Below are 24,714 nucleotides of genomic sequence, written 5' to 3'. Positions count from 1 at the left end.
AAATTTCTAAAATTTTGTTAGTCTCAGTTATAAGTGAAAAAGTATAGAAGAGAGATTTGAACAAATACGTGATAATATTTTCTTTAAAAAGGATTGGTCTAACATCATTTTAAAATTATGTTATGAAGATGACTTCTTTCTTAAAACCTTATGAACCAACCTCTGTTAGCTTCAAACTTTTCTTCTACAGTTTCCTCACCTTTCTCAGCCTTCACAGAATGGAAGAGAGTTAGGGCCTTGAGTTATGTTTTGGCTTAAGGGAATGTTGTGGCTGATCTGATCTATCCAGACCACGAAAACTTTCACTGTGTCAGTAATAAAGCTGTTTCACTTTCTTATCATTTGTGTATTTACTGGAGTAGCAGCTTTAATTTCCTTCAATAACTTTTCCTTTACATTCACTACTTGTCTAACTGGCACAAGAGGCCTAGTTTTTGACTTGCCTCAGCTTTTGACATGCCTTCCTCGCTAAGCTTAATGTAAATGTTAATGCTTGATCTTCATAATTATTTTATCTTTATGATTTTTTGCTATGATTTTCTAGTTGCGAAAAAAATCATGTATTTCTCATTAGATTTTCACTGTTATATCAAACTTTTTAAAACTTTTGATAGTGAAAATTCCAAGCACACAAAATAGAATAGTATGGTTCTTTGAATCATAGACCTTTTTCTAGCATGAATGCATTCAATTAACAATGTGTGTATGTTATTTGCTCTTCCTAACTTATGATTCAGCAGTTTACATTTTGTACAATGTAATCAATGGCTTACATTTTCTACAGCGTTACTGTTTTTAAAATTTCCATAGCTTAAATATGAATATTGAAGCATCAACACTTTGGAAAACATAAATTAATTGCAAGGTAGACACAAGGGGAGCCATTTCTACCGAGGTGTTAAAGACACCTATTATACTACATCCTGGATATTAGACAGTTGGAAGAGTTCATAAATTAAAAAATAAGCTTTAGTAATTTGGAGTTTGTGTTTTAAATTATTTTATAAAAGACTCAGATAGAAATGAAAATGATGATTTTGAAAATGCTGCCATGAAGAAATAGAAGGCAGTCAGTGGGACTGCCTTTTGGATTGCTGTGAGACTCGCAGGTCATTGTTCAGACTGTTAAAGACCCGGTCCACGAATTCCAAACATTTTCGAAGGTTCTTCCTGTTCTTATCATTGTAACTGCTCTGCCGATGCATTTGCTGACTCTCCAGGCACCTGCTTGTTCACAGTGAGTCTATATGCTTCCTCCGGCATTATATTTAGAAGCTGAAGGAGAGAGACATCTTTAATTACCATCTTCTAATTTCCAAGAGGAGAGAACTAAGGTCCATTAGTCCATTAGATCATTAGCAACGTTTCCCTGGCCATGTTTGTGTTGCTCTTATAACCAGATCAGTCCCCATGGCTGCCAAGTCCTTGCCATCCCTTCACTGCCACTTCCATGGTTACTTGCCAGATGAGACTGACTTTACTTCACACCTGGATGATTGCATTTGCTTCCAAGCTCATGCTCATCTTGTTGTTTTAAGTCAATCCTGTGATCCAATTCAGTAAGTTCTTATGGGTTGAATAGATGTTGTAGGCAAGGCTGTGGTTTAGGTTCTGTATCAGTGACTGGTCAAGATTCCTCAAGGAGCTTTTCCAAATGTGGTGCAATTTTACATACCTAATCTCAGCAGAACCTTTCTACTGAATTGTGGAAAAAAATTCTGGTTTTTACTATGGTTACATGAGAATATGTCTAAAACGAATGTAAAGCTATTAAGTGTATATTGAGTCTATTATATACTAGCATGATGCTGGGAGCCAGAATATCCCAAAAATAGAGGTTTAAAACATAAGCTCTGCTCTGAACAAGTGTACATTCTCATTGTGGATAAAATATACTCATAAATGTGCAAGGAAGGATATATCCAAATACTCAAATGAGCAACATGAACAAAAGGGCAGAAAATCAATGGAGAGAAAACTAGTTAAGAGATTAAAGATGAAGTAAAGCTTGAGATGAACTATTAAGGTTAAATATGAATTGTGAGGAGAGAAAAGATCATTCCAGAGAATAATATTGGGAATAAACATTGCAATATATATGGAAGAAAAATTTCTACTTATTTGAATTTGCCTGTAAAACTATGCTTATCTTTGCTCATTTTGCATTTCCCTGTCAATTTTGATAGCCTTTTCTTTTCTGAAATGACACGAAAACAGTTTTAATTCACTCAGTTCCATTAACCTTGAGTTGGTAATATCAAATTGGTATTATTGTATAGAGATATATGTCATATATTATTTTAAAGTATTTTCCACATATTTTTTCATGTATTGTTTATAAAAACAATTTAAAAGACTATACTGAAAAGTCCTAATATTCTTTTTTTTTTAAACTCACAAAACCCGAAAATTTTTGCTATCATTTACCTACTGTTTTAGCAAGATCTTATTACTGGTTGAGCATCTGAAATAGAAAATCTGGAATCTAAAACACTTCTGGTCCCAAGCATTTCAGATAAGGGATACTCAACCTGTAGAAGTATTTGTGGTTATTCCCCACATCTGAGCTTTACTTATAGTGAGTGAAGATTTTAAGTGGAAGTCACTATCACAAGTTTTGGAATAATCAGCTAGTTTTAAACTAATACAGATATAACACGATATACAAATTAAACTTAATTTTTATAAGCCAGCTGCGGTGGCTCACACTTGTAATCCCAGTACTTTGGGATCCTCCCAAGGTAGGAGGATTGCTTGAAGCCAGGATTTCAAGGCCAGCCTGGTAACATAGTTGTCACCCTGTGATTGCCTGGGGCCAGCATTGCAGATGGTAAAGAATTTACCAAGACAATCGTAGGTAAAGAAAGGCAGATTTATTAGAGAATGAGCAAAGATATGTTGGAAGGGTGTGACAGGCAGCACAGCAGAGAAGGGGATGTCTGCAAAGAGGCAGGGGCTGGAGGGATGTTTTATAGGGTCATGCTGGAGGGGGCTATGTGCAGAATGAGGTCATGCTGCTGGGGCTACCTGTGAAGTGAGAGGTAGTTGTGCCAGCGGGTTGTTTGTGATAAGTTGTCTCTCAGAGCAATTGTTCTCCCCCACCTGGAACCCCTACCTCATTTTTGCTTACTTACATTATCAGGACTCCACAATAGTGAGACCCATCTCTACAAAAAATTTTAAAACAAATTGGCTGATCTTGGTGGTCCATGCCTGTAGTCCCAGCTTCTCAGGAGGCTGAGGCACGAGGATCTCTTGAGGCCAGGAACTGGAGGCTGTAGTGGGCTATGATTGCATCACTGCCCTCCACCCTGGGTGATAGAGCAAGACTTTGTCTCAAAAAAAAAAAAAGTGTGTAATTATGTCTTATTCACTAAATAGTGCATGATCTTATGTGCATGAGAAACTCATAGTTTCTAGAACCTGTTTTCTGGTTCTCAGACTTTTCTGACAATGGCCTTTAAAGCCTGCTGAATTTTAAAAGGTGAAAGGAACTTTTCTTCAAAGGGGAATCTAAATCTTTGGTTAAGGAGTTTTAAGTAGTTTTGCTCATTAACATGGAGTGCTTCTATATACTGTTTCACTTAAATTTAGTTCTTTAAATGAAATAAAACTTGTATATACTGAGTAAAATAGCAGATATCTTATCTCTCGGTTGCTTGTGGGAAAAATCATTCCAAAGGGATGTATGAAAGGCTCCTTGTTTGTTCTGATTAAATGATATGGAGCAAATCTGCGATCTCTTTTGACATTGAACATGTTCCATAATTAAAAGCAATGTAAGCTAGACTGACATTGTAAATATTGTTTTTAAGATTTAAAAATTGAAGTTTCACATTTTTTAGTTCTCATATATGCATTTGAGTTTCTAGGTGGATGTCTTAGGCTAAAGTAAATAAAGTCAACTTTGTTAAGCTACTTGTGACTGCAGCTGCCAAATGCCCCCATTATGAGAAAAAAAATACTGTGGTTATTTTACAGGAAATACTGTACAGGACTGTGGTCTGTGCAAAGGAAGTGCCCACACAGAAACTAAAATACTGTTAGTACTTAATGGTGTACTTTATGCTTGAAGTAAAAATGAGTTGGTATAAATAAACTTTAATCTCCTAGGTTTTATGTTCAGAATTAATTCTAATACACTTTAATGTAGAGCATGGTAATGACTTTGTATTTTTACATGGCTTGCTGACAGAATGCAGCTAGGAGAGGAGCCCACATAAAAGCTATATAAATCAGGGGAACAGATGGTTGAGGGACAATTGTTTGACTTTAACAATATCATACAGTGAGTCAACCCAGATTTAAAATACAATAGTGCTGTAGTAAGCAGCACTATCATCCCCTTTCATTTGCTCTGGAGACTAGCAGTAGATTTGTAATTGTCCTATTGTAATTCTTTTCACAAATCATTTAGTTTATTTTACTAACATCTCTCTGTGTAATTGGCTCATCATGGCAAATGGACCAATTTACATGGCTGGAAAGGAAAGCAGAGTGTGCATGCTGCTTTCCAGCATCCGTAATTTGTTATGTGAGAAGCTTCTTGTTAGAATTCTTGACATTTACTCACCTGCATAAAATAGGGCTGAAAGGGGCTTTGCAAATGATGTAGTTCAGACTTCTCATTTTGCAGGTGTTATCACAGAGGTAAGTTGATGTTTTCAAGATTGATCATTTGTAGACAGGATAATGGCCTCCCTAAGATGTCCATATCTTAACCTTGAAACTGATGAATATGTTACCTTACATGGCAAAAAGGACTTTGCAGATGTGATAAAGACAAGGACCTTGAGATGAGTAGATTATCTTGGATTATCTGGGTGGGCCCAATGTAATCATATGGGTCCTGAAAAGCAGAGAACCTTTTCCAACTGGCTTGGAGAGAGATGCTCCACTGCAGGCTTTGAAGATGGAGGAAGAGGGCTATGTGTCCATAATATCTGGATTGTGGGCAGTCTCTGGAAGGTGGAACAGGCATAGAAAAGAATTATCCGATAGAATCTCCAGAAAGGGATACTACCCTGCCAACCCCGTGATTTTTGTAAGTCAAAAATTCAACATGCGTCTCACTGGCTTAAGTGAGATGCATGTTGATTTTCTGACTTACAGAAATATAAGATAATAAGAGTTGATTTAGGCCATACATTTGTGGTAATTTGTTACAGCAGTATAGAAAACTAATATACTCACTATGTTAGAGGATAAGCCAGGCCTAGACCTCAGGCCTTCTGCCTTACAGCCTAGGTCTTTTTTCAGGTGGTAAGTGCCCTTTATATCACTGAATCTTGTACGCTTGAAAGGCAGAAACAACTTGACTCTTCTTCCTCGATATTTAACGCAAGAACAGGTAAAGAGAGCCACCCAGAGAGAGCTTTTTAACTGATGTCTGAGCACCAGATGTTCCAGAGAGGAGCTAAATGCCAGAATGAATCTCGCTGTGTACTATTTAGCCCTTCAAATTCACTCACCAAAACTGTCTTGATTCAGGAGTATCCAGAATGCTGCCCAGAATGCTTAGCAATTTTGTGACTGCATGTCTTGGGGTGTGTTGAGTCTGGTCTTGACTCCCATGTCCCAGATCATCTGTGGGTGGATGTATAGTTGATAGGCCCTTCCAAGTAATTCTCAAGCCTCTAGTTGGTCTAGAATAGGAATTGACCATTAACTAGTATGAAATAAATTCAAGATACTAATAAAATATTTTAGCTCCCATTTGAATTTTGATTCTGACTTCTCATAAGGTCCTTTATTAAAAATTTTAATCACTCACAGAAATAAGACTGTTTCAAATAAAATCAATGGTTAAAAAACCTCAAATTGGATAAAAGCAAGGACATAATTCCTCAGAAAACCTAATCCAGGAACTTCAGATATGTTTGATGTCATCTGCCAATGCTATTTGTTGGTAATAGCTTTCTGGAACATTATTGGAAAGGATTCTGTGGCCAGGTCCTTGATCGAGTTAAATGAGTTCTTTGATCATGTCTGACTTGGGCAGCTGGGGCAATGCTAATCTACTTCCTAGAGTTTTCTCTCCTTGTATCAATCAATTGTTAATCACTGTTTCTTGGGTGTGATATTTCAGCCAGTTATAAATCCATCTAAATGAACTATATCCCACTCACATTTCTTCATAGGATCTAGGTGGGAGAGATACACCCTGATGAGTGTGATGAGAGTTTGAAAATGTGAAGTACAAGGAACAGTGACCTCATTTGTAAGTTGTTCTTTAAACTCACACCTGGAGAATAAGGAAGGAAGAGGGATTTGAGAGAAGGGAAGAACTAAGTGTCAAATAGTGCTGTCCTTTCCATTCCTTAATAGTAGTAAGTAGTTCTTTCATGTTACCTCTGTCTGGCTTAGTCACAGAAAATTTTATTTAGCTCAGAGGACCCTTGACTGAATGTCGTCATAGGTAGTTCAGGGTAGAAAACAGGTAGATAAAACTAAAAATACATGCATATTAAAATTTTGTGGAGAAGACAAAAAATACATGAAAGAAAGTATGAGAAACTATTACAGCATACTAACTTTTAGGTCATTCATATTTTTTTACTAAATATTTTTATAAGATTTATACAGCAAATGGTAGATACTATTAAAATATTATCTTTTTAATATAAAAAACTGAAACAAGTGATAATATTTAGTGCTTAGATATTAAGCTGTTTATCTGCTTTAAAAAATATAGACTCGGGCTGACATTACACCCTTTATTTTCCGTTTGTTTCTTTCTTTACATTAATACTGGTTTCAGATTCTATAAGCAAAATCAATTTGATTACTGCAGACAGGAGTTCGAAGACTTCACCTTCGTAGCCTCTGTAACAGGGCCTTTTGTGAGAGCACTTTGGCTGTAATGATCAGTTGACCTGTCTGTTGAGTATCATGAAGCTTAAGTGCCTGGAATAGCCCTTGACTTTCGCTAACATTGGAAGTTCATCAGTTTGCCAACTGTCTGCCAGTGAACTGCAGTACACTAGAGCAGTAATGAAAGTATGACCTCATACCTTTTGTGGCAATTTTCATTTTTTCCAAAAACGACACTTACTTTATTGCATTGAGCTCTACTGTGAACTATAATGCAGGAGGGCTCATATTCTTATTATCGCTGTTTACAAATATAAAGCTCAACTTGGAAGGGTTGATGACTCCCTAAGGCTAGTAAGCAATGAGGTAAAGAGAAACAAATATTCAACCTTAGAAATGTGAGTTATAACTTACAGTTAAATAAGAATTTTCAATCTTACAGGTTTCAAATCTGCATAGCAAGTAGCGTAATGGAGCAAATGATTCTTTTCCTCCAGCTTGCCTATTATAACCTAATCGTGTAGATAGGGATTTACAATATAGTAAATGTGTAGACAAATTTACAACATTGCAAGGCAGTATTTGGTAAGTAGTAGAAGTTAGTAGATTTAGCTCCTTAAGTTAAATCTACTAACCTTAAGACAATAACAAGATAAACTTGTACAAGTGGAGACCTTGTTATTGTTGATTCCGCATTTCATTAAGAGTACATATGCCTCTCTGTGCATTCTCATCTATTACTGTTGCTGAAGGGGATAAAGGATTATAAGAAATGATTCCTTTCCTCCAGGTTGCCTATAACCTAACTGTATAGATAGGGATTTACAATATAGTAAATGTGTAGATAAATTTACAACATTGTAAGGCAGTATTTGGTAAGTGTCTTGACAGTGTCAGACATAATAACCTGATTTGTCCAGATAAATCCAAAAGTGAGGGTCAGCTTTGGCCTGAATAAGCAGGAAGAAATTCAAGTAGGAAGTGACTTTTAAGCTGAGCTTTGAAAGGTGACAGATTTGGATAGGCAGATATTTTGTGAGAGGCTATTTTATTTTGATGGAAAGCAGAGGATTTTATTTGGGCAGAGGCATTGGGGTAGGAAAGGTCAAAGCATTTGCAGGTAGGGGAGTAGACCAGTTTGACAGAATATTTATGTAGGAGAGTGGTTATAATCATTACTTCATATGGGAATGAGAAAGTAGTAGATTTTTCTCTATCATGAGCCTGCCTACATTTCCTTCCTCTTAAATTTGTTAAGGAGGAATAGGCTTAGGCAGTTTTTTTTTTTCCCGCGAGGGTACTATCTTTGACATTAATCCAAATATTTGGTAAAGGGTAATCATATAGATTCTCATTTTTGTTTTTATCTTTTTTCTCTTTGTTTCTGCATTCCATGATTTTATTAAACAAATTAAAACCTGTAGAAAAGGTACAAGCATATGCAATAAAGACCCATAAGTGTGATGATACTTGCTACACAGTCATTTTAGACCAACCTATCTGTATGTGGCAGCCCCTGTTTGCATATAATCTAGATCAAGGGTCAGCAGACATTCTCTGTAAAAGATAAGAAAGGAACTATTTTAGGCTTGTTCGGCCATATAGTATCTGCTGCAGCTACTCACATTTATTATTGTGGTAGAAAGGCAGCCATAGACAGCACATAAGTGAGTGAGCATGGCTTTGTTCCAATAAAACTTTATTTACAAAATGTTAAGACAGACTTGGACCACCTGTGGTAGTTTACTGACTTTTAGTTTAGAGACATATGGGATCACCTCATTTCGAATAATGGGACCCTAGATTTCTTACCTTCTTCAGCATCTGTGGGTTCTTTTACTCTTAAAATAGTGTTCCTGTTCTTCTATTTCTTTTGGTTAATATTGCTTTTTATATTTTTATATTATTTCTAATTCTTAATAAGATTCTGCATGGGGCCTAGTAAATCATTGTGACTAACCACTTAGTTATTACTAGTGATTATAAGGAATACATTATATATGTTTATAGTTGAGCCATACTACCTTTTACAATTAATATATTGAAATATTTTAACTGAATTTAACATTCAGTTAAATGTTTTATTTAACTGAAAATGCTGCATACATAAAATGTCCTCTTGCTGGAAGTACAGATATAGATAGTGTATATGTTCCAGTATTTTTAATTAAGGAACACCTGTAGGTTGTTTTATTTGTTTGGGGTTCTGCTTACTTCCTCAGAAGGCTGGCCGTATTTATCTGTGGATCCTTTTCAGTACTGAGCAGAATACCTTGTACATTGGTTCTGAAAATGTACATGTCATTATCCATTTGAACCTCCGTATGGGGCCATCCTCATCAATATACACATGTGTTAATAGTTTCCTTCACTGTAAAACAAACAAACAAACAAAGAAGTTCCTTGCTTCCATATTCCCCCGTTAGTTATCACCTTATTCTCATTTCCCTTTCTCAGAAAAATTTCTTGAAATAGCGACGCTATGTGCATCTTCACTTTATCCCATCTCTTTTGTTTTTCAGTCTATTCCAATCTGGCATTTGTTCCCATCACCACATTACAATTACTTTTATCAACATCACTCATGAAATTTATATTCTGTATACTGGGACACTTCTCTACCCTCATCTTAATCAGCTGTTTGCCAGTTTTCTACTCAGTTCACGTCTCCCTGCTTCTTGAAACCTTCTTCCTCTGCTGCTTTGCAATGACACTGGTTGAGTCTGTTTGGACTGCCGTAACAAAATACCACAGTTAGAGTGACTTAAACAACAAGAATTTATTTTCTCACAGCTCTGGAGGCTAGAAGTCCATGATCAAGGTGTTTGCAAATTGGTTTCTTGGAGAGCTGTCTTCCTGGCTTGCAGATAGCCACCTCCTCACTATGTCTTCTCATGACCTTTCCTCAATGGATGGGCATTAACAGGGAGCAAGCAAGCTCTCTGGCTTCTCTTCTTATAAGGACACTAATCCTGTCAGATCAGGGCCTCACCCTTATGACCTCATTTAACCTTCATTACTTTCTTAGAAAGCCCATCTCCAAATACAATGGTACTGGGGTTTAGGGCTTCAACATAGGAGTTTTGTGGAGATACAAACATTTGGTCCATTAACAGACAGTCTCGTGACTTTCCTACCACCTCACTGGCCATTCTTCTGTCTCTTTGCTCAGCTTTTCTTCCACTGCTTGATCTCTAAAATTTGGAGTTCCACAGGCTCTATTCTAATCTTTATTATTTTTTTTTAATGCTACCCAGCCCACGTGGGGAGTCTCAGCCATTCCCATTGCTTCACTTATCATTTCTCTACAGGTTCTCCCAGATTTTAATCTGCACAGTAGGTCTCTTCCCTAAGTTTCAGACTCACAGTCAATGCACATCTCATCTGAACTCAAATTTAGTAAGTCTAAAATGGAACACTTAATTTCAAAATTCATATATGTGCTTCTTCCCCATCCTTCATTTTAGAAAATGGAAGAATCATTATCTGCAGTTTCTAAAATCATAAACCTGGACACTATTCTTGATTCCCTCATGTCTGTCATCACTGTTGTAAGCAAGTTTTTCTGATTCTGTCTTCAAGAGTCATCTTGAATTTTTCCATCTTCCTCCTTCTCCTTTGGACTTTGAAGCGCTTTCTCATCGATTGGATAGTGGGTAAAATATTACTTTTCTTGTCTCTTCAGCCTAAGTAGCAACTCTGAATATCCATTCCCACAGTCTTCCCTATTATATCAACTTGTTTTATTGTCTTCCTAGTATTCTCTCATCCAAAATTTTATGGCCTGTTTATTTGCTTACTTGTCTTTTGTCTCTTCCTTTGAGAATGTAATATTAACAGAACAAGGAAGGGTCTTGTTAACTTCACTCTTCACATGTCCATATTACCTAGAAAAGTGCCTGGTATGTAGTAGGTGTTCAAGACATAATTATTATAGAAGGAATGAACCTCTTTTGCTACTATTTTAGTTCATGCCAACATCATCTTTTGCCTGGACTATTACAGTAACCAAGTACCCCCATTTTTTCGAAGAGATCATTTAATTATTTTTTTATTATTTATTTATTTATTTATTTATTTATTTATTTTTTTTGAGATGGAGTCTCGCTGTCTCCCAGGCTGGAGTGCAGTGGCACGATCTCGGCTTACTGCAAGCTCTACCTCCCAGGTTCATGCCATTCTCCTGCCTCAGCCTCCCAAGTAGCTGGGACTACAGGCACCCGCCACCTTGCCCGGCTGTTTTTTTTGTATTTTTAATAGAGACGGGATTTCACCATGTTAGCCAGGATGGTCTCGATCTCCTGACCTCGTGATCCGCCTGCCTTGGCCTCCCAAAGTGCTGAGATTACAGGCATGAGCCACCGCGCCCAGCCCATTTAATTATTTTTTTTTCCCCTCTTTTTTCTCATTCCTCCAGTTCCTTACTTCCCACTTATCCCTTTGGAAATGCAAATATAACCCTTTGCCTTCCCTTCACCATACATTCCCTACAGGGCAAGTTCTTCTAACCATGGGCTCCAAGATTGATCTCTCTTCCAGAGTTAACAATTTACAAACCAAAGCATGCCCACTGTGGAACTCTCACCCACCAGGAGTTTTGCCTCAAGAGATAACAGTCAAAAAGTATGCCTGCTGCTCTCTCCCACCTGGTGAGTTTTTGCCCTAGTCCTGCCCACAAAGGCACCAGCAGTCACCAGCTCAACCAGTCAGTAGATAAGGCACTGAAGCTGGCATAAGGACCCCAATCCCCGGCTTCCTCCCCTGCATGCAATTTCTCTTTAAAAGTGCCCACTTTCTGCTCCAAAAGCAAAGCAGTACACTTAAAGGCAGGCCACCTGTACTTCTTCCCCTAAGATAGCTTTGGAATAAATCACTTTCTTTATACGAGACCTTGCTCTTGTTAATTGGACTCTGCAAGCGGAGAGTGAGGAAACCTGCATTTCGGTTACATTACTAACTAATCAGGTCTCCCTTTCCTGCTCTTGCCTTCCTGCAATCTATTTCCATAGAGCAGCCAAAGTATCCTCTAACAGTTCATCTCACACTGTGCACTCCCCAGCTGGAAGCTTGTCTTTGGCTTTTCCATGCATGTCCTGGCCCCTCCAACCTCCTCTGTCTTCCATTTTACTGTGGACGTGTCAGCTGTCTACCAGCTCCTAGAACACGCCACACACTTTCTCCCACCTCTGAGTCATTTACTTTGCTGGTGCTCTTCCTGGATTGTTCACGATCTTCACATGACTGGCCCCTTCTCTTTGAAGGTTTTATGTCACAGTGTAAATGACACGTTTTTAGAGAGGCTTCTTCTATCTGAGTTGGGTTTTCCCTCCTTCATTGGCCCAGCACCAAGAAGAATTTCTTCACAGAACTATTGTCTATAATTGTTTTATATCTTTGTTTACTGTCTTTCCCATTTTTGGCTTCATGAGGAAGGACATTCTTACTCTTTTTTGTATTTTAATGTCTATCATAGTTCTGAACAATCAACACTTATTTGCCAAATCAGTGAATACACATGCTATAACATTTATGTTTTTCCTTAGGTGTCTGAAAATAGTTTGTCTTCAGGATTTTGTCTTCTAAGGATATGATAACAACAATGATTATTTAAGAAACTTGAATAACAAGATTAGTAATGTTTCTATAATATCTTCTTCTATAGTAAATCTAAAGTGAGGAGCTTGCTTTTTTATATTGTATTTTTCCAGAGACAGCTTCATGAGTCAGAGGTACCTCTCAATATATGACTCACATAAGACAGTGGATTTATACTGTCAGCTGCCTTTTTATACCTTCAGTCATCTAGGTCATTAGGCAGTTTGCATTCTTTTCTCTTGGTTATATAGGTATTAAAGAAACTTGCCCCTTATTATACATTAAAAAAGTGGTAAGCTCCTATTTTTTCTTCTAAGTATATGGATTGGAAAGACTTTTAAAAATGGGTGATCAGAGAAATGAAGGTCAGTTTTTTCCTAATTTTTAATTTTTATGAGTACATAGTTGGTACATATGTTTATGGGGTACATGAGATATTTTGATACAGACCTATAAGGCTTAATAATTACATCAGGGTAAATGGGGCATCTGTCGACTCAAATATTTATCATTTCTTTGTGTTATAAATATTCCAATTATACTTTTAGTTATTTTTTAAATGTACGATGAATTTTTAGTAACTGTAATCACTCTGTTGTGTTATCAAATACTAGATCTTATTCATTCTATCTAACTCTATTTTTGTAACTATTATCCATCCCTACACCCTACCCCCCCACTCCCCTTCCTAGCCTCAGTAACCATTCTTCTACTCTCCATCTCCATGAGTTAAATAGTTTTAATTTTTAGCTCCCACAGATGAGTGAGAACATGTGAAGTTTGTCTTTCTGTGCCTGGCTCATTTCACTTAGCATAATGTCCTCCAGTTCTATCCATGTTGCTGCAAATGACAGGAATTCATCATTTTTTTATGGACGAATAGTACTCTATTGTGTATATGTAGCACATTTTTCTTTATTCATTCATCTGCTGATGGACATTTAGGTTGCTTCCAAATCATAGATACTGTGAACAGTACTGTGATAAACAGGGGAGTGCAGATATCTCTTTGATATACTGATTTCCTTTCTTTGGGGTATATACCTAGCAGTGGGATTGCTGGATCATATGGTAGTTATATTTTTAGTTTTTTGAGGAATCCTCTTACTATTCTCCATATTGGCTATACTAATTTACATTCCCACCAACAGTGTATGAGGGTTCACTTTTCTCCATATCCTCGTCAGCATTTGTTACTGCCTGTCTTTGGATAAAAGCCATTTTAACGGGGTAGAGATGATATTTCACTGTAGTTTTGATTTTTATTTCTCTAATGATCAGTGATGTTGAGCAGAGGTAAGTTATTTTTGTATGGCAACCCCAGACTTCAGAAAAGAAAAAAGCAGTTGTTATTTATAACAACTGTTATCATAGATTTTAATCCCACAATCATCATACTTCCTTGATGATAAAACAGTTTGAAGGAAGAGTATTTGGCGGTGTATATATTTTTAAAGGCATTATGAAATCCTACATAAATTCCCCCAATCGAATTTTTCCATTTAAAGGTTTAAAAAGTGATATATTTTCACTTTTTTGAAAAAGTGCAATTTGAGGCATTCCTGTTCTCATCACCAAGATTTAAGAGATATTAACACTTTGTCATATTTGTGTCATATCATTTTTGAATTTTTTTTTTTTTTTGAGACAGAGTCTTGTTATGTTGTGCAGGCTGGTCTTGAACTCCTGGCCCAAGGCAATTCTCCCACCTTCAGCCTCCCAAGTAGCTGGGATTATAGCCTCAAGCCACTGTGCCTGTCTCTAATATCATTTTCTCTTGTTTTTGAAATAAGAATTAATATATTACATATGTAACTGAAGCTTTCATTTGTTATTATATGAGGTTTTGACCCATGATTGTTTCTTCTCTCCCTCCCCAGAGCTGAATATATATGTATTTAATCTGCATGATAGCAAGGGAAGAAAGAATTTCTGTTTCTAAGAGGTTGATATTGATATAATTGGAAGGGGAAAAGATAGAATGTTGTTAAAGACAAAATACTTGGTTTCCTGGAGGCAATCTATTTTGCTGTTTCATCTGGAGCCCTGTATGAAAGGTTCAGAAAAGTTCAAAGCTTATATTTTTTTTCCAAACTTGAGTTAAAAACAGGGATCACTAATATTTAAGATAACAAACAAAAAACTCTACAAATTGATACTTTTTTCTTTTCAGCAATTCTTGTGTCGTAAAACTGAATTGAATAAAACTATATATTTTGACTATGAGAATCAAGATTCTCAAGAAAGTCAGGCAATTGAGTGAGGCCTATAATGTTATGTTTTTAAATTTGCTAAATGATGGTAGCATGTCGAGAGGGGAGGGCTGGACCTGGTGGGGGGACTGAATAACCAGTTATCTAGAGACCTGGCATCATGAGAATGTTGTCAGCTTTCATCTACATGATATTGGTTTATATTTTTACTACTTATGTATATAGTCTTAAACATTATTTATACCATTTGTGTGTTTTACATTCATGTGTTATTATTTACATAAATGACAAAATCCAGCTTGTTTTTTAAAAAATGTTTTTGAGAGTAATCTCTTTTGGAGATGAATCCCTGGGGGTATGTATACCTTTAGTTTATTTTAACTGTTCTAAATAATACCATCATATTATAGTTTGTTTTTCTAATATGTGTTCCTCCCTCCTTTCCCTTCCTTTCCCCTCCTTTCCTGTTTCCTTTCCCCTCCTTCCCTCTTTTCCGGAATTTGCGTCTGTGTGATTCCTAGGTAATCATTACTGAAAGCATGATCAGCATTTTATGGTTTAAAAAAAAAAAACTGCACTGGGTGCATTTCCACTAAACGTATAGAGAATATATCTGAGGGAACACAGTAGAGCTCCATGTGGATACTGATTGATTAGTATTGGGCCCGTGGAGACTGCTAGATTAAACAGGAGGCAGATAGTCTTTCCTCTGGGAGTCTTGCCTCTGGGTGTGTCCATCATCTGCTGAATTAGCACTGCATTCAGATCAGCTCTAGGGGAAGGTTGCTTCTATCACATGGTGCAGATGAACCTGCCCTGCTCTCCTCACTCTGGAAACTTGGCTGAGGTGGGAATCTGATCAGAGCAGTTGGCCCAGTTAGGAGTCCCCATGTGCCATTTAATGACAAGTGTGCTCCCTGGTGTTTGTTCCGAATTAATTTCCTCTGTGTGAATGGTGTCTACAGCTTGTGGAGGTGGCCTTTGGGGAATTAGTCTCCTAAGTCTCTGGTTGCCAGATGAAATTGTGAAGTTGAGTCCAGAGAGCAAACTCAGAGCAGTAAATTGCATTTTTTTCCGCTCTGAAAACCACTTGTCTACTATGAGTTTCTTGCCTTTTTTTTCTCTTCTGTCTTGAGTTTTTGGCCTTGGCACAACTATAGGTTTATGCTAGCTCTGACTGATGTGGTCCTGTCTGGTTGTCAGCATCCTCTCATGCTCTGCCAGCCACATGGGAAGGGCTCTCCTCCTTGCCTCCTCACCCCCCTGCCTATGGATCCCTCTTCTCTTGCAGTCTGGGCCATTGCTGGGCATCACTTAACTTGTTTGGTTTCCCTGATTCCCTTTGTCTCCCTTCCATTTGAGTAATTTCAAAGCTTAGCTCTGATTCTGCCTCTCCTCTGCTCCTCATGAGCTTTTGATGGCTTTTCATGCTACAGAGAAAATGGCTCATTCTCCTTAACATAGCCTGGAAGATTTTTTATAATCTGACTCTAACCAGCTTGTCCAGTTTCATGTCTTATCTTTTCCAACACTCAGCCTTGCTGTGGTTGATGATTCCCTGTTACCCAGACCTGCTGTGCACATCTCATGCATCTAGTTTTGCCTCTACCTGTACACCCAATGCCCTTCTCTGATAATGGAAATCCTCCTCTCTCTCTGCAAGCCCAGCATGCATGTTCCCTTCTCTGCGAGGTTCCCCAGTACCATCTTTAGGAGTTAACCACCAGCCCAGTTGTGTTCCTTTAGATCTTTAGAATTTTTTGTCTGCCTACTATCATAATGCGTCAGATATGTGTCTTTCCCCAGTAAGTAGTGAACTCCTTCAGAGCAAGAGCCATGAATATGTCCTTGGAAAGATACCTTAGCACCTCTAGAGTCTCTTGCATCTTTTAGGATTGAATAGCTGTTATTGGAGGAACACTGTTGTGGGTGCTTGGTGTGAGGGTGTGTGGTATACTGAACTGGAGTCCAGAGACCCAGGCTAAAGCCAAGACTCTGGCCGTGTTCAATGATGCTTTTGCCTACCAATGATCAGTAAAGGCTTATTAATATATAAAATGATGAAATGGTGTTCTGTGTGATTTGGGGACCATCCCTGAACCTCTCTGTGTTTTAGTTAGCTCATTTGGAAAATAAGAGGGTTTGAATAAACATTATTATAGATTTCTTTTAGCTCTAAAAGGTTCATATATTCCTTCTTTTGTGTACATTTTATATTTTCCAAATTATCTACAACGAGAATTTATTACTTTAAAAATTTGAGCTGTCAGGTTAAAGTTCTTATAACTCCTAGCAAAAATAAATGAGTCAAGAGACAAGCATTAAGCCTAAATACCAATGAACCCCTATAGGCAGGCCTATTTAGCATTGGAGTGAAATATATTAGTGACTGATTTTACAGTGCTGGGAGTTTTGCAGAATCAAGGTCAGAAATGAGATTGTGTAAGCCAGGACTGCTCAAGACTGTATAAGACTGCATGTGGCCAGTATTAATCAATTAAGAAATCAATAGTGATTTAATTGATCACCACTATATGCTTGGCACTAGATGAGAGCTTTTTCATTATCTATCTCATTTAATCTTAAAAATCACTTTGTGGAATTGGCATGGTTATTTTATCACTTTATATGAGAAAATAGGCTCAGAGAAGTGAAGTAACTTGTCCAAAGTCATCCAAGTACTCAATTTTCAAGTCATTATTCAAGTATAGATTCATCAACTTTTAAAGCTCATGATCTTTTGTTTATACATCACATTGCCTTTCTGTTAGGCCAGAGGTCCTCAACCCCTGGGCCACAGACAAGTACCAGGTCCATGGCCTGTTAGGAACCAGGCCACACAGCAGGAGGTGAGGGGTGGATGAGCGAGCATTACTGCCTGAGCTCTGCCCCCTCTCAGATCAGTGGCAGCACTGGATTCCCATAGAAGTGCAAAGTGTATTGCCAACTGCGCATACAAGGGATGTAGGTTGTGTACTCCTTACGAGAACCTAATGCCTGATGATCTGACGTAGAACAGTTTCATCCTGAAACCATCCCCCCATGCCCCCTCCACACCCCGCCACGGGTCTGGAAAACTTGTCTTCCACAAAACTGGTCCCTGGTACCAAAAAGGTTGGAGACTGTTGTGTTAGGCAAAAAAATTTGTGCATATATGTGGCTAAAGAAGATAATGGGAGTTGGGAGATATTGCTACTAGGTACCTCATATTTTAAACAAATAGTGCCGTAATTATTGATAGTGCTTGAATTTCATTCCAAATATCCTATCTTCTTTAAAGAAGCAGTTTACTACTGTTTTATAAGCCATTCTCATTAGCATCTCTATCAATAAGGATTCTTATTTGTAAGCCACAGAAACAGACACTGGATGATTTAAATTGGAAAGGAATAATTTAGAGCATATTGAGCAATTTACAGAATCTCTGCAAGGGCCTTAGAACCAGGCAGCCTGGAACAGTGCGTAAAATCACATCATTGAATTTGGTGATGAGAGTTGGCCAGGGGCACTGTCCGTGTCACTTGGCAATTATCCTGTACTTCAGCCTCCACTCTGGAACTCTGATTTAGCTGCTGCTGCCAGTTGCTGTGACAATGTGTCTACATCCCTTTCCCCTCACTAACTCCCAAGTTAGTCTGGGGCTGGTATGCCTGATTGACAGAAAGCAGGTCTTGAGTCAAGGTCATAGCTACAATGGAGGCTAGAATGTAAATGTCGGATATTTTTATTTTTAGAGTGGGATGTGGGATTTTCTTCCTAAGAGAGACACTATTCATGCATGGGAAGGTGATTCAGATACACAGCAGCCGAAGTGAACGACAGATACTGCAGCATCTATGTATAGATTGTAATTCATTTCAATAACATGAGTTTTCTCATTTTAAAAATAAGAAAACTGATATGGAATTTTCCATTCCCTTGGGCTAGGAACTTTTGGGGGCTCTCTCATACATTTTCTGGAATCAATTGTCACCAAGTTCTATTGATGCTTATAAATCAGGCTCAGGTATACCACTTCCTCTCTATTACTGAAGATATAAACCCAATTTGAGTTTTCAAGATGTTGAAATTGGAGTTTCTCAATAATCTCTCTTTCCTTGTTCTCTCTGAATTTCTTCTCTTGGATCTGTCCTGCAAATTGCTGCTAGAATATTCTTCCATAAGCACTGTTTTCATCATACCTCTGCATTGCTCAAAATTATTATGGTTTAGGGGAAATACTGTAGGCCACTAATCTTGCAAAAATTTTATGGCTAAGACATCAGAAGCACAGGCAACAAATCAAAACTAGAAAAATGGGATTATATTCAACCTAAAAGCTTCCAAACAGCAAAGAAAACAAAGTGAAGAGACAGCTTGTTGAATGGGAGAAAATATTTGCAAAATATATATTCATTCTACAAGGGACTAATATCCAGAATATACTGGGAACTCAACAGTAAGTAATCTCATTAAAAAGTATGTAAAAACATGAATAAACATTTCTCAAAGGAAGACACAAATGGCCAACAGGAACATGAAAAAATACTCAACATCACTAATCATCGGGAAATGCAAATCAAAACCACAATGATACATCATCTAATCCCATTTAGAGTGGCTATTACTAAAAAGACAAAAACTAATGGGTGCTGGCGAGAATGTGGAGAACAGGAACTCTTATACACTGTTGGTGGTAATGTAAATTAGTATAGCCATTATGGAGAACAGTATGAAGATTTCCCCAAAAATAGAACTATTGTGTGATCCAGCAGTTTTCGCTACTGACTGGGTATTTATTCAAAGGAAAGAAAAAAAGTATATCAAAGGAATACCTGCACCCCCATGTGTATTGCAGCACTATTCACAATTGCCAAGATATGGAATCAACCTAAATGTTTACCTGTCAACAGATAAATGGGTAAAGAAAACATGGTGTGTATACACACACACACACACACACACACACACACACACACACACACACACACTGGAGTACTATTTAGCCATACAAAAGAATAAAATCCTGTCATTTACAACAACATGGTTGGTTCTGGAGATCATTATGTTAAGTGCAATAACTCAGGCACAGAAAGACAAATATCACATGTTCTCCCTATTATGTGGGAACCAAAAAGTTGATCTAATGGAGGTAGAGGGTAGAATGATAGTTACCAGATGCTGGAAATGGTGTATAGGGGGTGGGGGTTGAAGAGAGGTTGGTTAATGGGCACAAGCATACAGTTAGATAGAAGGAGTAAGTTCTAATGTTCAATAGCAAAGTAGAGTGAGTATAGTTAATAATGCATTACATTTTTCAAAATAGCTAGAAGAGAGGACTTGAAATGTTCCAACACATAGAAATTATAAATGTTTGAGGTGGTGGTTATTATAAATACCATGGTTTGATCATTATCCATTCTATGGTGGTAACAAAATATCACATACATAAAAATGTAAAAATACTATGTATCAATAAAACATTTAAAAATTATTATGGTTAACCATAGCAATTGGTTTATTCAGGAATTAGTGACCTATAATAACTAATATGCCAGTATGCCAATTTGGATCCCTTTGTTGCTAAGAGGCAATATGGAGGAGTAAGTTTGCTTTGCTCATGCTGTCTCCTGTCTAGAAGGCCATCTCTGTTCTTTCAGATATCCAAATTCTACCTTTTCTTGAGTGTAGCTTGTCTCTCCTTTTCCATGAAGTCCCCATGCCTTTCCAGACTTACTTACTGATTTTTCTATTTGATACTTAATTATTTGTAATATGCATTTCATAGCTTATTATTTAGTGACATTTTCTAATTTTATCAAGAGTTTTTTTTTTTTTTTGAGACGGAGTCTGGCTCTGTCGCTTAGGCTAGAGTGCACGCAATCTCGGCTCACTGCCAGCTCTGCCTCCTGGGTTCATGCCATTCTCCTGCCTCAGCCTCCCAAGTAGCTGGGACTACAGGTGCGTGCCACCACACCTGGCTAATTTTTTGTATTTTTAGTAGAGATGGGGTTTCACCATGCTAGCCAGGGTGATCTCAATCTCCTGATCTCGTGATCCGCCTGCCTTGGCCTCCCAAAGTGCTGGGATTACAGGCGTGAGCCACCGTGCCCGGCCTTATCAAGAGTTTTTAATTCCTGTATTCTTATATCTCTTCCTGCTTCAACCCCCATGCCAAATCCTTAAGGGAAAAAAACATGACATAGACTTATTTTTATCCTATTCCTAGTGCTTGACCCCTAATAGGTTCTTGGTTGATGATTAACTGAATGGGAAATAAACCTTGGATGTAGATTTCTAGTAGGTGTTATATTTTGCAACGTGATTTAACAGTTCTAGACCAATTGTTACTTGGGCTTCTGAGCACTATACATTATTCACCATACGGAATTGAATGCCATTGAGTACATTAAAAATAGTCCTGTATATATGACTTGAACCACAGCTGTTTCCATCTAGTATTGAGTAGGTGCATAGTTAACCTCCACTATTCCTATTCTTTGGAAATCAGCTTAAAAAATGATAATAAATAAAACTGCAGTTATCAGAGTTTTTTAGGTAATGAAAACGGGCACACGTGTGACACAAATAGGAGTTAGCAGGATACTCTTCGTAATATTTTTTTCCTTGTGTCTATTATAGGATTTTCCATTATATATTTCTGTGGCATCTCTCCATCAGGATTCTCATTGTGCATGAATCTATCTATGCACAAGAGTGTCAACTCTGCCAGCAGTATCTGACAGCATTGTAATTTAATGTATTCAGCTGCTGTGTTAAGTTTCAGGAAGTTTCCTGTAAGCCAAAACTTGTAAAGCTTTGTCTCCCTTTAAACTTTTGTTAATGATATTATTTAAACATTTCTTTTTTAAGCCTAAATTTTCTAAGAAAATGTGATTTGTTTACTTCAGTGCTTGCTGTTATAGAGGCTGTCATTTTTTCCCAAACTAGACTTTATTGTGAGGTGTGGCATGCTTAATTTGTCCACTTGTAGAAAATGATGTGAGCGTATGGCTGCCTGTTGCAACTTGAAAAACCTTAAAACCAAAATCTCAGGCCATATTATTTAATCTGTCAATTTTCCTTGTTACATAGAAATTCCTACTAGAAGTCCAAAGATAGTTTTCGGAGGAGCCCTGAGTTGCAGGATGTTTATCACCTCTTAGTGTTCACCTTTGATTTGTTCTTTTTCTTCTTGCTTTGCAGTTGTTTGATTTGTAAGAATTATTTAGATATTAAAAGCATGAACTGTTTTTAATATGTTTACTTTTGTTTATTATGGTGCTATATAATAGTTCTGCTTTTTTATGAATTCCAGTTATCGAAGTGGTCTATTGTGTTTTCTTCCCATATTTTAAATCTTATAACTTTTGAAAAATTTTTAATAACCTAGAATTGTTCTGGTGTAAGGTAAGGAAATAATTAATTTTAAAAATGTGATAATTTCAGCCAGTTTTGGTAAGCATTACTCCCAGTTCTCTTATTTTGTATTAATGCCTAGCCAGATTTTTCCCTCATTTGCTTTTCTATGTGAGGCTTTTCCAGAGCGTCATCCTATTTTAAAATAAAATGTCAGCCTGCTTCTTTCACTTTGCAGATTGCCAGTCATGCCCAGTATCTTACCCTGTGCAGATCTGGTGGTCAAGCTCATTCTTCCTTTCCCCAGGTCATCTGTGAGTGTAAAGCATCGGAGTCCTGTAGGCATCACTTGAGGTGATCCTCTCTAAAAGATACCTGTTCAACTTCTAACCAGCTTCAGAATGATAAGACTTTTTTTTCTGAGTGTGGAAAGTGATTAAAAACCAACAAAACCTGTCAATGTTATTTCTTTCATCTTCTCTGTGCCTTCTGTGTCTGTTTTAGAAGGAAATTAGACTGTCTGTTAATTCAGAGCACCTTCATGAGTAGAGAAAGGACTTCTGAAAGTTGAACTATCCACATGTCCCCAAAATGTAAAGACCGTTTTGAGAGTATCTTCTAGTCTGTTATTTTTGTTTCTTACCACTTTTTGACCTTTAATGTTTTCCTTTTTCTTTTAATTTTCTTCCATTGTCTTGGTGGTTCTCTATGCTGCCTTTGCCTTATTTTCCATCTTCCTTTCCTTACAACTGGTCCTGTCGCGTATTGTTTCTGTTTTTCACCCATTTTTCTGCTGTCTTCTTACTGTTCATTGTGGGATGATCTCAGGATATCCTGGATGAATGGAAAAAGTGTGTTTGGAGCCTTGCTGTAACATGATTACCTATTGGGTGATTATGCTTGTATAGAAAAATAGGATTGTTCAGCTCAAACACTGAGGGAAAAACTATCTCCTAGATTTCCTTACTGAAAAATCCCAAATCATAAGAGACAGATTTTAGTCTTGTCATCAGAACATAATGACTAAGGGAAAATTCAGATGGGACTGTGATGTTTTATAAATTTTTGTGAAATAGTAAAACTTCCATGTCTCATAGCAATTTTAAAAATTATCATAATTTCTTTAGTTATAGATATAAATAGAGTATGTGGAATTGAAAGTATGACTGGAAAGGGACTTGCTCAGTTCCCTGGGCAAGAACTTCACTTTCTTCTGGTTCCAAGAAGAAAACATACAACTCCTGTCACTCCTTTCTGTGTATGTCTCTTCTGTCCTCATTGCCTTGTGGTCTTCTGTGGCTCTGAATGTGTAGAAAATGCTGATGGAGAGATGTGAACTCTCCCATAAGAGCAGTAATGCCTGAGTGACACCCCACCTCTGTAGTGAATCTTCCCAGCCCCCAAAGGCAAGGTTGAAAATCCTGGTCTAGGCTGCTGCTGTTCGAGTCCAAGTATCTCTAGGATTTACCCAATCAGTGGCAATTTATCAGCAGAATTCTAATCAGTCTTTTCTTTTGTTGAAAATTGTTTGTTAAAAAAGGAAGAAATTATTTCAAAATATATGGTCTTTATAAACACATAAACTTCTAGAAACATTTATAACTGAAAATGTGTTGTTTTTACAATGTATCATTTTCTAGTAGCAGTAAGTTATGCTGTAGCTCAACTATTCTTAAAACCTTCCTGGCAACGTTTCTCTAGGAAATTGAGATCCTTAAAATTTTTAGTTCTCTTTGCTATAATGTACAAAAAGAAAAAGTTGTTTTGTAAATTCTGTCATTCTCAGTGTCATAATGTTTGGATTATTTGAGAAAGAACTACAGTATGAGTGAAAATTTGGTATTCTAAGGTATAGAATAAAATGGGATTTGCCTACAAAAATGCATTGTAATTTGCACAGTGTAGTGCCTTTGCATAGTGATTTTATGCTATTGTTTTGGAATGTTGTTTGAATATCTTCTTTCATCTTTCAGTGCATTTTGAATATATTTTCTGGTCCTTTCCCTTAATGTATAAGTTCATTGGTTTACAAATTTTAGTTTTCTCAAAAATATTTATGACAGGGTTTTGCACATTATAAACGCTCATAAAATATTTGCAATTTGACTTGGCTATAAGTTAGAGCTATATTAAGGATTTCCAGAATCCAGATGATGCCTGTGCCATGCTGACTGTACTATCCAAGGACAAAGAAATGGGTGCTGATACAGTAATGCTCTTTTCTTTCTGGAAATGTGATCTTCCTTGTTGAACATGTTAAATATTTTATTCATTCTGTGTTCTTCTTTTCATTGGGAGTTAGTGTTGATTTCTCAGACTCTTAGGTTGTGTCTAATTATAGTGCTGATTCCACCTCAAAATATTGCTGAACTGACAGTGGTCAAAGGAAACCAAAAAAGTAGTCCAAAGAAAGAAATGATGAGGCTTTGCTTATTTTTCAGTTGCCAAGAATAACATAAAAATCTCTTTAGGTGGGAGAAAATCACAAGAGCATCTCACAATACTTCTTAAGGAGCAGACGCATGATCTGATAATATAATAATACCCTTCCTTTTGGGCAGGTTGCGCTCAGCCTTGTGAATAGTTTAGAATAGCTTATTTCTAGGGAAGTTATAAAAAATGCCTTCATCGATTGGCATTATTTATCAGGAACTTCAAAAATGTTCTTACTCTTTGGTCCAGAAAATTATTCACTTCTAGGAATTTATTATCAGGAATAATTAGGCATATGGATAAATATTTTGATACAGCAGTA

The 24,714-nt window shown here is 37.1% G+C and overlaps 1 protein-coding gene across 8 annotated transcripts in view; it reads left to right on the top strand.

Annotated features, from left to right (window-relative positions):
• VAV3 (vav guanine nucleotide exchange factor 3) overlaps positions 1–24,714 on the top strand; it is a 394,020-nt gene that overhangs the window by 131,622 nt on the left and 237,684 nt on the right. Inside the window, exon 1 of one of the 8 annotated variants that reach the window (XM_047430476.1) lies at positions 6,202–6,220. The exons of the other annotated variants lie outside the window; for them this stretch is intronic. The gene's annotated coding sequence lies outside the window, so the exon portion shown is untranslated. Of the gene's footprint in view, positions 1–6,201; positions 6,221–24,714 lie in introns of those variants that run through there. 8 annotated transcript variants of the gene reach the window in all.

The sequence above is a fragment of the Homo sapiens genome, chromosome 1 (genome assembly GCF_000001405.40).
Source record: "Homo sapiens chromosome 1, GRCh38.p14 Primary Assembly".
In the NCBI taxonomy this organism is placed as follows: domain Eukaryota; kingdom Metazoa; phylum Chordata; class Mammalia; order Primates; family Hominidae; genus Homo; species Homo sapiens.
Note: the sequence above shows the minus strand (reverse complement) of the source record. Positions and strands in the feature narration are given on the sequence as shown.